Here is a 14,559-nt window from a genome sequence, read left to right as displayed (position 1 = left end):
AAAAAGGACGATATCCCAAATAATTTTGCTTTTGTAATACTGACTAGATTATTCTTGGAAATTCATTTCAATAGTGTTCTCCTCAAATACACATTTCTAGAGAGGTGAGGCGACTCCTCCCTTGCTCCTGTCGCTGTAGATGGCTGGGGTAACTTATTTTCCTCAGTGAAGGGGTAGGTTCATGGGTTCCAGCCTTTCAGTAAGTTGCTGGGTGAAATTCAAGGACCAAGTGCGGTAATTCAGCAGAAAATGCCTGGCACAGCGGTCAGAGACAATGTGTCAGCAACACTTTCTCAACATGGGAGGCCCCTGTAGGCTCAGGACAGGGCAGGGACCTAGGGCCGGGTGAGGAGAGCGGCCCTCGTGAGGATGGGTACAGGCCAGTGCTGGGCAACACTGGGATTCAGAAGAGGAAACAGAGAATCCCCAGGGCCGGACCAGATGGTCCTCCCGAGAGCGAGAAGCAAGGGTCATCTCCCTTTCTTCTTTTATCCCTGCAGACATCCTCAGTGTGTGTTTGTCAAGCCGTTCTCTCTGACACATAAGGGCCAGGGTAGTTCATCTTAAGCCTCATTTCTCTACCGGAACTATTCCCCATTAAGCTTCTTCTGCCACCTCCCTCTGGTTCACTTCAAATTCATGGCAACATTAATGGTTTGGTTAACGTTAAAGTTTGGTTGGACTTTGCAGGGAGAGCCGTTTCCTAAGCTCTTTCCCTCCCATACCCCCCACCCTGCCAGACGAGCTCATTGCAATCTCCAGTGACTTTTGGACGGCAGCTGGACTCGATTTCCTCTGCCGTGTTTTCTCAGTACAATAGATAGACAGCAATGATTACATTATCATTAGTCATTATCTCGAAAGAAAATACTTGCATGTCAGAGGATATAATGTAAATTAACTAACAATAAAAGCCAGCTTGGCCTCAGTACAAACTCATTAGCATCAGGATTATGACTCACCGTAGCTCCAGACATCACTCTGGTGGGTATAGATTCTGTGTAAAATTGATTCCAATGCCATCCACTTGATAGGCACCTTGGGATGGTGAGAGATGAGGCAGTGAGACAACTATTAGTTTCCCTCTGTTGGAAAAAGTTAACTCACTCTGGACCTAATTACGAGTGACACACACAGACGAGCCAGATCACCCCAGGACCCGTCCCCCAGGCCCGGCGCCTCCTCCCGGCAACAGGGGATTTCAGTCTGACGGAGTTCAGGGCTGCTCTGGTAGGTTTCTGAGCACCCTCTGTGTCCCAGGCTGCTCTGGTGAGCTGGGAGCCCTGGTTGTGCCCAGTGGCCTCACTCATCCAGGTCTGCGTGTGTTTTCAGGGCCCAGCATCATGGGTTGGTGGCTGCTAGGAGCCAAGCAGGCCAGAGTGAAACCTCAGAGGGGCCTGGCTGTGGGAGGGCATTCGAGGGCCTGACAGGGGACGCGCACCCCTTAGTGCTGTGAGGGTCCCTAAGAGAAACCGAGCCAGTGAAGGGAGAGAAGGACTCCATTGCTGCCTGTCCCAGCCACGAGCCACAGACAGCCCTGGGAGCTCGGGTCCGCATGGGGCCTTTCCTGTTCCTTAGGTGTCCTTGACAGCAGTGGACCACCAAGGCAGCTGTGACCTTTCCCAATTGCGCTATTGAAGGGGACTTATATATCCTGCAGGGAGAGACTGAAACCTAACATTTGCTAATGATCACCTGGGGATAACATCCTCATTCACTGTCCCAGCAAGTACTGTTCCCAAAGCAGCTCTGGCTCACACTACCAGGAGACCCTGGCTGGACCCAGCTGCCAGCAGCAGCTGCTGCGAGCTCACCCAGAATGTCTGGAGAGCATCCTCCCCTGCATGTGTTAAACAATACAGCTAGTGGGAAGGCAGCCTGGTCCCTGGTGTCAGGAAAATGCTGGCTGACCTAAAGCCACCTCCTTACTTTGCCTCCTTCTGCATGGTATTCTTTCTCTTCCGCACCCAGCAGTTTGGCCAGCCCAAAATCTGTGATCTTGACATGCTGCGGTGTTTTCACCAGTACGTTCCTGGCTGCCAGGTCGCGGTGCACCAAGCGACGGTCCTCCAAGTAGTTCATGCCCTGAAACAGAGAAGACCCTGCTGTGAGGGACAGATCATCATGGGAAGAAGCTCTGCATCCGAATTCAGGGTCATGTTCATGCCAGGCTCTGAGCCTCTCCACGTCGAGGACTTATGGCTGGCGAACGTTAGTGACTACTGATCCAAAGAATGGAAAGGCGCATGAAAGAAGATGTAACCCGCTGCTGACCATTAACTTTTCTCCATCCAGTTCCTCAAGTTTTAAGTCCAGAGGTGCTCGTATATGAGGACAAAGAAGAGCAGGAGCTCTGCTGCCCAGTTGAGACCTGGGCTTGAACTTACTGGACTTGCCAGGCTGACCTTCCTGCATGTGGTTTATCTGCAAAGTGGGGGTGGGGGGTGGCGGGGACCATGCCCTCCTCACCAAGCTGGTGCAAAGGAATGTCGTTCAGGGTTTTTAAGCCACACTCTCATTGTGCTTTCTTGGACTCTCTGATATGGTTCACTGCCTATGAAGATTTTTGTCCTGTTTTACTTTTCACTGGTTTATTATTATTATTATTACTGAAACCACATGGATACTGAAAATGCTTTTAGAAGACACCACCCTCCCCACCTCCCTGGCTGCCTCCACAATCTCGCTGCAATTGAAATCTCTGCTCTGAGAGTAAGAAAGGAATAATATGTGAGAAGCAGCCAGCACAGCGCCCAACAGAGTGAATTCCTAGAAATGCTACCCTGACCCTGGCTGATCCTGACCCACGGCCTCTGGTGTCCTTGTCACATGCACCTTTCTCCCTGCTGGCTGCTGGGGTCACTGCTGACCCCTGCTCCTCCTTGCTTGACGGATGCCTACCTTGCTGAGCCCAACTGTCCCAGGCTTTGGCCTAAGAATGGCAGCCTGCATCTCTCTGCAAGGGCCAGGCTGGCAGGTGGGAGAGGCTGGGAGGGGTCAAGTTCTGCAGACTTCTTATTATTGTTTCTACCACACTCTCTTCTCTCTCCACCAAGAGGGTGGGCCACCTTTCTAGTTCCCTTTATGGCTGATGTTCATGTACTTTCTAGTACAGAGTGGGCACGACAGAAATGCTTGCTGCGGTGCAGCAAACAGAAACAAACAGGCATCTCTAGCCTGCTCCACTCTGCCGCTCCTGTATGGAGGGATCCCACTGTAGTGTGACTGCAGGGAAAAGCTGTAGATGTGGATGGATTCCCAAGTTTTCTGGCAAATTGTTTTTTTTTTGCATGAATATTATGTGAAAATGATTTGTTGAATTGGCATGTCAGAGCAAAATTAAAATTTTTTCTTTCTCAGGCAAAACCAGTCATCATAAGAACCTAGGGTCTCGCAAAGATGCTATGCAGAATTAGTCTTTGGGCGCCGTTTGTGAGGCCTTTAATGTTTTTCTCTTTTGGAAAAGAGACGCTTGCCTGACACCCACGTCTCATGACTACATGGACTGTCCCCTCACCCTGCACTGCCGAGAGCGCTCCTACGGGTTTCCGATGCTGCTGGACGTTAGTGCTTCCCTGCCTACTTAAGAGGAAATGAGCAGGTTCTTCTCTGGACAACACTTCCAGATTAGGAAGTATTATGTCAGGATGGTGGGTGGAAAGGGAGAGGAGAGGGGGGGCAGAAGCCGAGGAAGCGCTTCCCAAAAGAGGACTGGCCCAGACTCCCTGCTACTCTGGCAGCCTGGGTCTCCTTCAGAGGCAAGCTCCCTGCCCCCGCTGTCTGCCTCGTTTGACTCCTGCGATGCTGACTTGCTCTCTGCCTGGTACCCTGTCTCTTACAGAGCAAGGCCTCTGTTTATTAAATATCATGAACTCCTGCCCATTCGAAAGGGAGAGTTAGGCTCAGCCTCTTGCTGGTTCAACTGAGTGTCTACCTTCTTGGCTGTGTGAACTCCCAGGCTATCTCCTCTTCTCTCTTCTCTGTCCCTTGATTTCTCACCCTCACCCTTGCTTTCTCCTTTCTTTCTACCCTGTTCGTTCTTCACATTTGTACCTTTTGTTCGTTCTTCACATTTGTTGAAGGCGTCCTCTGTGGTAGCTGTTGAGCAGGAGTGGCACAGGCCTACAGTAAAGAGCCACACACAAGTCCCCATGCAGAGGACCAGGAACCTCTCCCTTTCTCCCTCTCTATTTAAAATGCGTGGTTTCTACATATTCATTAAGCCCACAAGGAGGCCCTCAGAGCACATTCCCAGCTTCGTTTCACCACCACTGCTAACTTTCATTCTGCCTCTTTAAATGCTTAGCGGAGATTTTGGTATACTGGGCACATTTTTAAAACGGCCTGTTGAAGAATGAACAACTGAATGAATGAATGATTGAATGACTGGTGATAGCAGCTGACAGTGCTGAGCACTGGCGATGTGCCAGCCCTTTCACACACGTCCGTGCAGACACCTTTTCTATCCCAGTCCCCACACGACCACCTCGTTAGATGACCTGGGGTCCAGAGACTGAAGCATGTGGCTGCACAGACCAAATACCCTGAGACCCCAAGACCACTACTGGGACCATGGCTTTAATTGCCCTGCTGGGAAATGCACCTGCTAAGCCAGAGGCTGCTTGGGGTTTTATATATATGCATATGTGTGTATATATATATATGTATATGTGTATATATATATACACACACACACACACACACATTATGTGTGAGAGCATGAGACAGCGTGAGCATGCACCTTGGTCCCGTGCCTCTGGGGAAGTCCGCGTCACTCTGTCAATCTAACAAATCCAGCTGACCTCTGGCCCAGCCCTTCCCCACTCCTCACACCAGGGCTTTAAAGGACCTGAGCCATTTCTACACAGTGTCTGTTTCCTCAGAACACCGGTCTTCACCAAAGGCGTGGGAAAGGGCAGAGAGCACAGGACATATTCTGGAATTCAGGTAATCAGTTGGAGGGTTTTAAGTCAGAGACAGCTTTGGGACAAGGAGAGAATCCCATGTGAACTTAGAGGAGACTTGACGCATGGGTCTCCGTCCCACTGCCGGCACATTTGAAAGGACAACTCTGTGCCTGGCGCAGTTATGCTTTAACTGGTCCCCAAAGATAAGAGCTGCGATACGGCCTGTGAGCTCCCAGGGTCCGAGCAGAGGTCGCAGGAAGAAATATCAACAAAGCCTCAGCGGGGCCTCTCAGGAAACTCAGTTCCTGCTTCTTCTCCGAGACCCTCACTTTAATTGAAATTAAAATATTTATTTTTGTTAATTACTACAGGAAAACTGGAATGAATTTTGAAATACAGCACTGAGGTTAAAAGGGGATTTGAAAAGCCAGCCTGGAACTTCCACTTACAAAAAAGAAGGCTCTGCTCCACATGGCTGTCGGGGCTTATTCTGGCAGGGTACCCCAGAGTGAGGGGCGGGGGCTGTGTTTGACCTTGAAGGGCTGGGTGTTCCCAGGGGCTGCCGCACCCCACGAGTCTTGGGAGGAGTTCAGAGTGAGAGGCGGGAACTGGATTGTTTGTGTTCTATTTTGTAAATCTCCTGTGGAAGAGCTCATGGAGCAGTGACTTAGGAAGGAAGTGGAGGAGGGGAGGACGAGAAGGCCGCGTGGTTCTGGTGGAGTGGAGGGCTTTCCTATCAACACTATTCTGTTGTTGCTGTTGTTCAGAAGTATTTATTTAAAGCAAGATCAGAAAGAGGCTTAAGGTTCATCATCTTCAAAATAACCCACCTCTACCAGAACCATGCTGAGACCAAGACCACCATCACCCTTCCCCTGGGGGCTGGGGCTCACCTCTCACCTCCACTTTGGGCTGGTCCTGAGGCAGGCAAGGCCAGACACTCTTGGCCACAGCTAGGGAGAAGGTGAGGGGCCCCGCAGGGCTTTCTCAGGCCTCATCTTCCAGGATCCCCCTGTACAAATGATGGTGTTCTCCCCTCAACCTTTTAGCCCTTGGGGTGCTGGTGGGGAGGGCAGCCCCACCCCAGAGACCCACCTGCAACTGGTAGAGGTAAGGGATGGGGTTCAGGGGGGCTCTGAAACTACGGATCTGATGAAGTTTTTAAGCAGAGTGGTCACCAGGAGAAGCCTCCGCTCCTGTCTCTGGACTCCAGATCTCAGAGCATCTGTGGCCTTGAGCTCCCTAAAAAATGGAAGAGTCTGTTCCTCAGGCCAGCTTGCCACCTTCCCAGGCAGGCATAGAGTAAGTGCTAGACCTCGGAAGAGGCAGGAAAGTGTCAGAATGTCCTATTCCTAGACAGAAGTGGTGCAGCACGGGCACCCTGCTGCTCAGGGAGGGAGGGCTGCTGGGACCCCTGTCCTGAGAGTCATGCTCTGAGCTGGGGCATCCATGCAGGCTGAGAGGCTGCACCATGGAACCAGGCCACCTGGATCAAATCCTGAGATCTTGGCAAGTGACGTAAACACCGCATGCCTTTGTTTCCCCATATGTAGAATGGATTAATCAGAGGGTGGAATGAGTTTATGTAGAGATAGCACCCATGGAGAGTCCCGGGTAGGTGCTCATGATTGTCACCATTTCCTCCAAATGCCAAATCTATTCTCTCTTCTCCATTCCTTTTGCAGCGACCTTGAATTTGGCCACCATCTTGCCTTTGTGATGAGGCTCCATGTGCTTGGCCCTGAGGGGTCCACCCCTCCTCCCCAGTGTCCCTTATCTGGTGGTTTCCTCCCTGTCCTCAGCATCTCCCAGTCAGAGTCACTTCCCCACCCTCAAGTGCCTTCACGCCCTGTCCGCAGCCAACTCTCACCCACAGAGGCCTCCTGGACAGGGAAAGGACCTGTCACGCTGTTTGGTCTGCAGGACTCACGGCTCTGGAGGGTGAGGGGCCATCTGGCTTGTTCACTGCTATCTTCCCAGAGCCAGGGGGCTTGGCTGACAGACCCATTCCATTCAAACTTGGAGCTCACCCTCCCTGTGCCTTGCATGGTGGCCTCACTATAGCTGCGCCTCCTGCTCTGACCTGCTTCCCTTCCTGCTCTGTATTTGTTGGCAAACTTGGGGAGATAAGAAATTTTGTCTTACTTCTATATGTATTTCATGTGATGCTTAACACTAGCAGGTAAATGCTTAAGAAATAACTAGTCAAAATGTCTAAAGATGATGAATGTGCTTCAACAGCACTGTGAGCTTTGTCTTTTTAGTGATATACTAAAGTGATCATTAGGTTAAGTTTAGCTGCGACCCTTTGTGGAATACGCAAGAACAAATAAAAAAAATAACTCACATAACTGAAATCTCTGGTCCTTGGACCTAGGAATCCACAAAGCTGTGTGATGTGAACGTGCTGGGTAAGTCATCCTCTCTGGCCCAGTGCAGACGGGATCAGGAGGTGCAGGGCTGAGTCACCACCCTGGGGCCACAGTTAGTCAGCAGGGGTAGGCTCTGCCGAGTCCTCATCTGAGGATGGGAAAGCCATGAGGGGAGGGAGCAAACCTGGATGACGAAGGCCGGAGCCCTCTGGGACCTGCCTTGCAGTTGCATTGGAAGCAATGTAGAGCAAGCCAGGGTCTCTTCTCCATGACAGCCTATCTCCACCAACACACTGTGGCCCTTCCTCAGTGCTCCACCCAGTGTCACTTTCACTCTCTCACAGTCCTGCTTGTGTGCTATGACACGCACACAGCACGATCTGTCAGCGTGGTTTTCGTGACCTGGCACCTAGGAATAGGCCTGAGTGGCCTGGAATGTGCTGGCACCACCAGCTTGGAGTCTCCTTCCCTGTCTCCCGGTGTGGACGGGATAGCCCGGCCCACTCAGCTCATCTTCCTCTCCCTCCCATTAGCAGCTCACAGGCACTGGGGCTTCTTGTCAGTAGCAGAGCCGTGAAAGCACCTAGGGCTTTTTAAAATGGACTTGGACCAAATTAAGTAGCCCACGTACTTGTAAAAAGGAGCCTTTGACGTTTTCTTTGATGTTCATCTGCATTAAATTTTACCTCATAGATGGAACTAAGTGTAGTTTGGTGCTTATACAGTTGTGGTCAGAGAGTGCCATGTGTAAGCCAGTTTCATTCTGAGAACCCTGCCCCACCGCTACCGTGCGTTGTTCACCAGGCCTGGCCTCAGGACTGTAAACTGATATTGTTTGCTGTACTACAGAACCACATCAGTGTCTGCCTGAACACTCAATTCTGTGAGACTGTAATCTGCATTAGGTGATGAGAAAGCTCTGTTGTCCAAATAGTTTGGAAGAATGTGAGATGAGTTGCAGTCTGAATGGCAGGACTCTGCAGTCCTGGGCATGGGAGGCTCCACGGGGAGAGGGTGGCACAGGAGCAGGGCTTTCCAAACGGCACGGATGACGGGATCTTTGGATGACTGTGCCGTGTGATTTATTCTGGGATTTACTAGCTGGCTTGTAAATCCCAGGAAGAGTAGACAGGCTTTCTTAAGTCTAACTTAATCCCAGTGCATGAAAGCCACTGTGAGCTCCTGTGTGGGGAATTTAGGAGGCACCTGCTCTTTCTGGCTAGTAAGCAAGTGGTGTCTCCGCAAGCTCCTGAGATGGTTTTGCATATGGAGAACAAAATCCATTTTCCTTGTAGATGGCAAGGGATGTCTCTCTCATGGTCTACTGGTCTCATATGGATTCCTCCCAAGACACCTCTGTTTTTTTTCCTTTTTCCTTTTGTCTAGTTGATATAATTTTATGTAATCTCTTTGGCAGTTTAGTCAGGACAATGAAACTTGCATAACAGTGGCCAGCTCTCCCATCAACATTTAGAAGAAAACTTACCTAGATAGTTTGTGCCTTTGTGAGTCAACACAGGACATTTATAAGCCAATAAATCCCATTTTGAGGATGCCAGGAGTTTAGTTTCTGGTCAGCCACTAAGTGTTTCTGGGTAGTTTTACTTCAAACGTTTAAAAAGAAAATTTTTTAATACTCAGATACATTGTAAGTAACCCAAGAGCAAATTTCTATTGTCACAATTTGGGGAATCACTGTTTTCATTTCCCTCCAGGGACAGCTGTTCCATCATTGCAACTATTCAAATACAGAGGAATGAGGTTTCTCTTGTGAACTAAAAAGCAAATCTAACAGAGACAAAGCGTTAACTGCCCGTAATGTAAAAGGACTTCAAATCAAAATAAAGCTAATCAAAGTACAACAAACACAAGAATGGCTTTAAATAACAGATTGAAATTGTAGGTAATATTATGCAGAAAACTGTCATGGAAAACTTTCAGGCCCTGGAAACTTAAACTCAGGCTTTCAGTAACTTCTGCTTAAATGGGACACGCACTAAGTTTATTCTCTGTAATGGACACTATTATATTCGTTTGTAGAAGGCTAATTTTTGGGGTCAAATAAACCTCCACTTATCTAGGTCAGGCCAACTGGAATGTGAGCATGAGAAGGAGCGCTGGAGAGCAGGTCATGAGCAGCAGAGATCAGGAACAATGGCGGGCATGTGATGGTCATGCTGCGCCAGGGAATGAGGGTTGGCACAGATGTAGATTAGGAAGATGTTTCTGGGTATATTTTAGTGGCTGCTCCAACCTAGGTCAGCCAAAGGGGATCAAAGGAGGAAAAGAACACTCAGTGGGGATCAGCCATGTGCTGGGCCTGTGGTGGGCGATGCGAAGGGGCTCACTGCCCTCCCTACCTCCCAGAAAGACAAGGGGCAGAACACACTCCACAGTCGGGAGACGAGGCGCAGACAGGCCAGCAACGTGCCCCCGTTCACACGGCGAATGCGCCAGAATCCAGATCTGAATCCACAGTCCACTGGAGTCCTGAGCTCATCCTATATTGAGCGAAACCTGCCAAGACTACGTGCCCCTTAAGGAAAACGGTCACATACACATTTCACACGGATGGCCCGACCACCTCTCCACCATGTAAGGAGTCACCTTTGTGGAGCTGGGGGTTACTGGGAGATGATTAAGAACAGCTGTGGACTGTTGGCCCCCTCTGATGAACGGAGGAAGGGCAGCTCCCACATGCAGGGCCGGGTTTGGGGAATAGCCAGGGCTCACCTCCCGGTTGGGACAGGTAGGCACAAACTCAAGTAAGCCATAAACCAACCAGATATTCTGGGGCAATATGTGCTAAGAAGAAACTAAAACCAGGTGATAGAGACTGCCTGGGCAAGGAGGGCAGTGCTCTCCATTCCCTGCTTCAGATAACCAGGAGGAGAGCTGGGGAAGCAGGTCTGGGTTCCAGGTCAGGGCATGAGTGGATGTAGCTCCACACCCAGCAACATCTGCCCCAGGCTGACCACCCCCTCCCCAAGACAGTGGGTTGCACAGTGTCTCCACATTTCACGTCTACCCAAAACTGCAGAATGTGACCTTATTTGGAAATGGGGTTTTGCAAATCTAGTTAAAAGTCTTGAAATGAAATCATCCTGGATTTAGGGTGGGTCCTAAATGCAATGACTGGGATCTTTTTTAATATATATATTTATGGAGTGCAATGTTTGTTTTGACATTTATACACATAGCGGAGTGATCAAATCAAACTAATTAATATATCTACCACTTCACATATCTGTCATTTTTTTTTGTGCTAAGAAGATTTACAACAGACTCTCTTAGCAATTTTCAAACTCAATGACTGGTATCTTTATTAAGAGAAAGGAGAGGGGCCTGTGGTTGCAGAGACACAGGAAAAGGCCTTGTGAAGACGGAGGTTGACATGGGGAGGTGCAGCCACAGCCCAGGGATGCTGGAGCCACCAGAAGCCAGAGAGGCAGGAAGGATCCTCCTCAGAACCATTGTGGGAGCATGGCCTTTTAGACACCTGGCCTCCAGAGCCAGGAGGGAATAAAGCTGTGCTATGTTGAGCTACCAAGTTGGTGATGATTTGTTGTGGCAGTCTTGGGAAACAAATGCAGCCACACACAGAAATAACAAGCACCTCCCAATAAAAAGAGGCCCTGGCATCCGAGGCACACAAGACCCTCTCCCAGGACCACTGTCTAACAACAGTGATAGGAGTGTTCTACTCTGTGGCCCGGGTTATGACCATGAGAATGGCAAAAATATTCAGTGATTTTTGTGCTCAGAGAAGCATGAGCGCTCCCCACTTCCTGGGGTGCTGGGGGCCGCCTGTGGCTGCAGCTGAGATATCAATGCCCGATGATGCTGGAGTAAAAGGGGCTGTGCAGGGTGTGCTGCTATCTGGTTATCCTGGGAGGTGGTCCCTGCTTCTACAATGCGTCCCAGGAGCTCTGCCATGGGAAGGAGCTTACCCAAGCACCACGGCTCCCAGCAACAGCCTGCCTGGTGGTGTCAAGGGCAGATGCTGGCATAAGAGCGCTCCAGATGTTTTTGTTTGTCTTCTTGTAGGTCACCTTTTACATCTGCCTGGAGTTGGGTGAGCGCCTCACGAATGACTCGGCAGGACTGACTGCCACTGCTAACCAGGCGGATGCAAGCAATGAGGAGGACCTGCCCAGGCCGGGTGGGTGTCTGCTCCCTCCCTCTGGTCCCTGGCACATCTCTGGACCCCCTGCCCTGCTGTCGGAGAGAGATGACGGGCAACGGCGTATTCTCAGAGACAGGGCCTGCCTGCAAATCCTTTAAAGTCAATGGGATGAAATGTATACCCATTGTTAGAAAAAAATAGGACTTAGCAAGTTGAGTGCAAATAACTGATGCAAGACTGGGATGGAGATGGGAGGGGTTTGGGGCAAAAGCAGAAGTCTTTCTGGGTCCGCACCAGCTGTGAAATACCTGGCTTGTTGTTCTGTGCCTGTCTCCAGCACCCAGGCAGGGCTACCTGACCACTCTGCTCTCTCAGCCCCGCCCTGGCTCTGGAGCGAGCCTGTGGAAAGGGGGACACTTAGCCAAGGCCCCAGCCACATAGCAGCAGCAGCTGCGCCCTCTGTCAGCTCCTTGCACCTCCTCACTGGGCCTCCTGCAAGGCACCTGCTCCACTCCACCACTATCACCTGGGTCCTCCTGGCCTTGGCCTGGCTTGCTTACCTTGTTATCAAGTCCTGAATGGGGGAAGCAATATTCCTTCTCCACTACAAATCACCACAGTATTCACAAAGAATTCCAGAGAAATAAGAACAGAGACATCAGACCACACTGAGCACTCAATAAAGAGAAAATTCTTCAAAGGTAGCTGATTGATGAGAGTTTCCACATGCAGATGGGACAGGCACTGATTTGTGCACAAGAAGATCAACTTGATTGAATCCAAAATAAAGGAATGTGTGTGTGCTGCATGCACGCACACACATATCCCCATGGCAAACTCTTGCTATCCCAGGAGCGCAGACCGCATGTGAGGATCCTGGCTCCTTATCTCCCCTCCCCGTATCTCCCTTCCCTGATTACCTTTGCGATCTGCACACACCAGTTGAGCAGGTACTGGGAGCCAATATTGTCTTTGTGTTCCCGGACATAGTCCAGGAGGCAGCCGAAGGGCATGAGCTGCGTGATGAGCTGCACGGTGGAGGTGAGGCAGATGCCCAGCAGGCGGCACACGTGGGGGTTGTCCACGCTGGCCATCACGTAGGCTTCCTGGAGGGAGGGAGAGGCACGTCAGTGTGGCTTCGCATGGTGGCCAGAAGGAGGGGCACATGGACCCCTTCCAGGTGAAGACGCATGAATGCGATCTTGAGTTTCAAAATACGTACTCATGGAGGAAAAGCTGTGCCTGCAAAAGACCTAGCACAGGGACGTTTACGCAGGGCTGTGAAGTGACAGATGCAGTGGGAGAGGGCCCCTCCTGGGTGCATCTGGGGATTCCCCATGACAGAGAGGCCCAGGCAACAGTGGCCATGAGGAGCACATTGGATAAAGGAGGAGTCGGAGTCACCTGATCTCTGAGTTTGGGAACTGATAGTATCTTTGTTATGAAGACCTCCGCCTCAAGGTTGAGGATGCTGTGTTTTAAAATATCATGAGGGCCTGTAGGAATCTGTGTGGGGTCCGGAACACCCTGGGTAATGACTGACCCTGCACATCAGGAACGCTGGCTGTGGGTGCTGCAGAGGACAAGCGATGGAGAAGGCATCCGGGGAGCACCGAGCCAGCAGGGAGAAAGGCCTCCCTTCCCCACAGGCCAGGCTTGGCCCTGACTGTGCTCTGGGAAATGGGTGGGCATTTGGGCTGGGGACCCTGCCCACAGCACCTCTGCAAAGAGTAGCTGGATAAGCTCTTTCAATAGACCAGTCCCAGGTTTTGAAATGGACAGAGCATTCAATCTACAGTGACTAAAGGCTGCCTGGCTGCCCGGGACCCATTTCTAAAGAGAAGTGGTCTCTCTGTGCTGTGCCCCCAGGCTCCCTATGGGAAATCCATGCTGCACTGAGTCAGGCATCTGCTGCCCTGCTAATTCCGGCTGGCTGCCAAGGCAGGGGCCTTCCTTTGACAGAGCCATAAATACAGACTTTATTTTAACCCTTCTGCTATTCTTGGGCTGAGGAAGCTAAATTTATTTGCAATCAGGCACACAATGGGGCCCTCTTTTCTGTCTGACTGAGAATGAGGGAATCCCCAATTTCCACCCATAAATTCTCTTTCTCTTTAAAATACAAATGGTGGTGACCTTTTATTCAGATATGGAAAAGAACACACAGACTGTAGCAGAAAGCATCCACAGCTGCTTTTCACATCTCAGCAATGCCTATGTTTTGAGTGTGGACTTGGGCAAGTTAGTTTCTCTGCAGAAGTGAACACACTGAGCCAGGCTCTGAGATAGGGTGCTGCTCCAGGGTGCCCGGGCAGGTCAGGAGCAACAGGCTGGCGGGAGGCAGGGTGGAGATAGGAGACAGGAGACAAAGGCAAGGTGGGGCGAGGGGACACAGACAGTGGACCCTCAGTATCTGGGGAATTGGTTCCAGGACCTCCCTTAAATATCAAAATGTGAGGATGCTCAAGCCCCTGATATAAAGTGGCACAGCATTTGTGTGTAACCTACAGACATCCTCCCATCTACAGCATCTCCTGATTACCTATAGTACCTAATACAGTGCAAATGCTATGTGAATAATTGTTATGCTGTATTGTTTAGGGAATAATGACAAGAAAAAAAGTCCGTATATGTTCAGTACCGATGCAATTTTTTTCCCCAACGTTTTTCATTGTGGTTGATTGAATCCATGGATATGAAACTGCAGACATGGAGGGCAAACTGTAAATATTTACTAAAATACAAATATGCTCACACGCTTTCCTTGCCCTAAACCCTGCCCTGGCCGTCCCTGTTCCTGGGAAGCCCCGAGGCTGACTGCCCTCCTCCCTCCAGCCTCTGGTCCTCCTGCCCACCTTCTCCCCAGGAGAGCTTCCCTCCACCCTTACCCACGGGAGAACCTCTGTCCCCAGAACCCACCTCCTCCTTCCTTAGCAGACTCTTTCTCAGAGGAGCCTTCCTCGACTCTTCAATCTAAATGAAACTCTCCTGGTATCTTGCAGTTTTTCCTTCAGAAAGCAGCCTCAGCATTGCCTGGGAACCTTTTAGAGCCACACATTCTTGGGTCCCGCCCCCAGGCCAAGAGGGTGAAATGCAGGAGACAGGCCTAGCCTTCCATATGAACAAACCCTCTGGACTCTGAAGCTTGATGAAG

The 14,559-nt window shown here is 50.5% G+C and overlaps 1 protein-coding gene and 1 long non-coding RNA gene across 9 annotated transcripts in view, besides 4 other annotated features; one reads left to right on the top strand and one right to left on the bottom strand.

Moving 5' to 3' along the window:
* EGFR (epidermal growth factor receptor) overlaps window positions 1-14,559 on the bottom strand; it is a 192,612-nt gene that overhangs the window by 17,825 nt on the left and 160,228 nt on the right. For all 8 annotated transcript variants that reach the window (NM_005228.5, NM_001346899.2, NM_001346941.2 and 5 more), the window contains 3 exons: window positions 12,326-12,511; window positions 1,930-2,085; window positions 963-1,038 (listed from right to left, as the gene is read on the bottom strand). In NM_005228.5, the coding sequence (NP_005219.2) occupies window positions 963-1,038; window positions 1,930-2,085; window positions 12,326-12,511 (418 nt within the window). The remainder of the gene's footprint in view (window positions 1-962; window positions 1,039-1,929; window positions 2,086-12,325; window positions 12,512-14,559) is intronic.
* Window positions 835-1,720: an enhancer, noted in NCBI's record as "NANOG-H3K27ac-H3K4me1 hESC enhancer chr7:55259777-55260662 (GRCh37/hg19 assembly coordinates)". NCBI's record gives its function as "activates a minimal SCP1, AML or CMV promoter by ChIP-STARR-seq in naive H9 embryonic stem cells {active_cell/tissue: H9 hESC(naive)}" and the evidence as "EXISTENCE:reporter gene assay evidence [ECO:0000049][PMID:30033119]".
* Window positions 4,855-14,054, top strand: EGFR-AS1 (EGFR antisense RNA 1). Its single transcript, NR_047551.1, has 2 exons — window positions 4,855-4,947; window positions 11,327-14,054. It is a non-coding gene; the product is annotated as an EGFR antisense RNA 1 (long non-coding RNA).
* Window positions 7,430-8,203: an enhancer, noted in NCBI's record as "H3K27ac-H3K4me1 hESC enhancer chr7:55253294-55254067 (GRCh37/hg19 assembly coordinates)". NCBI's record gives its function as "activates a minimal SCP1, AML or CMV promoter by ChIP-STARR-seq in naive H9 embryonic stem cells {active_cell/tissue: H9 hESC(naive)}" and the evidence as "EXISTENCE:reporter gene assay evidence [ECO:0000049][PMID:30033119]".
* Window positions 11,365-11,984: an enhancer, noted in NCBI's record as "H3K27ac-H3K4me1 hESC enhancer chr7:55249513-55250132 (GRCh37/hg19 assembly coordinates)". NCBI's record gives its function as "activates a minimal SCP1, AML or CMV promoter by ChIP-STARR-seq in primed H9 embryonic stem cells {active_cell/tissue: H9 hESC(primed)}" and the evidence as "EXISTENCE:reporter gene assay evidence [ECO:0000049][PMID:30033119]".
* Window positions 11,985-12,604: an enhancer, noted in NCBI's record as "H3K4me1 hESC enhancer chr7:55248893-55249512 (GRCh37/hg19 assembly coordinates)". NCBI's record gives its function as "activates a minimal SCP1, AML or CMV promoter by ChIP-STARR-seq in primed H9 embryonic stem cells {active_cell/tissue: H9 hESC(primed)}" and the evidence as "EXISTENCE:reporter gene assay evidence [ECO:0000049][PMID:30033119]".

The sequence above is a fragment of the Homo sapiens genome, chromosome 7 (genome assembly GCF_000001405.40).
Source record: "Homo sapiens chromosome 7, GRCh38.p14 Primary Assembly".
Classification (NCBI taxonomy): domain Eukaryota; kingdom Metazoa; phylum Chordata; class Mammalia; order Primates; family Hominidae; genus Homo; species Homo sapiens.
This window is presented reverse-complemented; position numbering and strand designations above follow the sequence as displayed.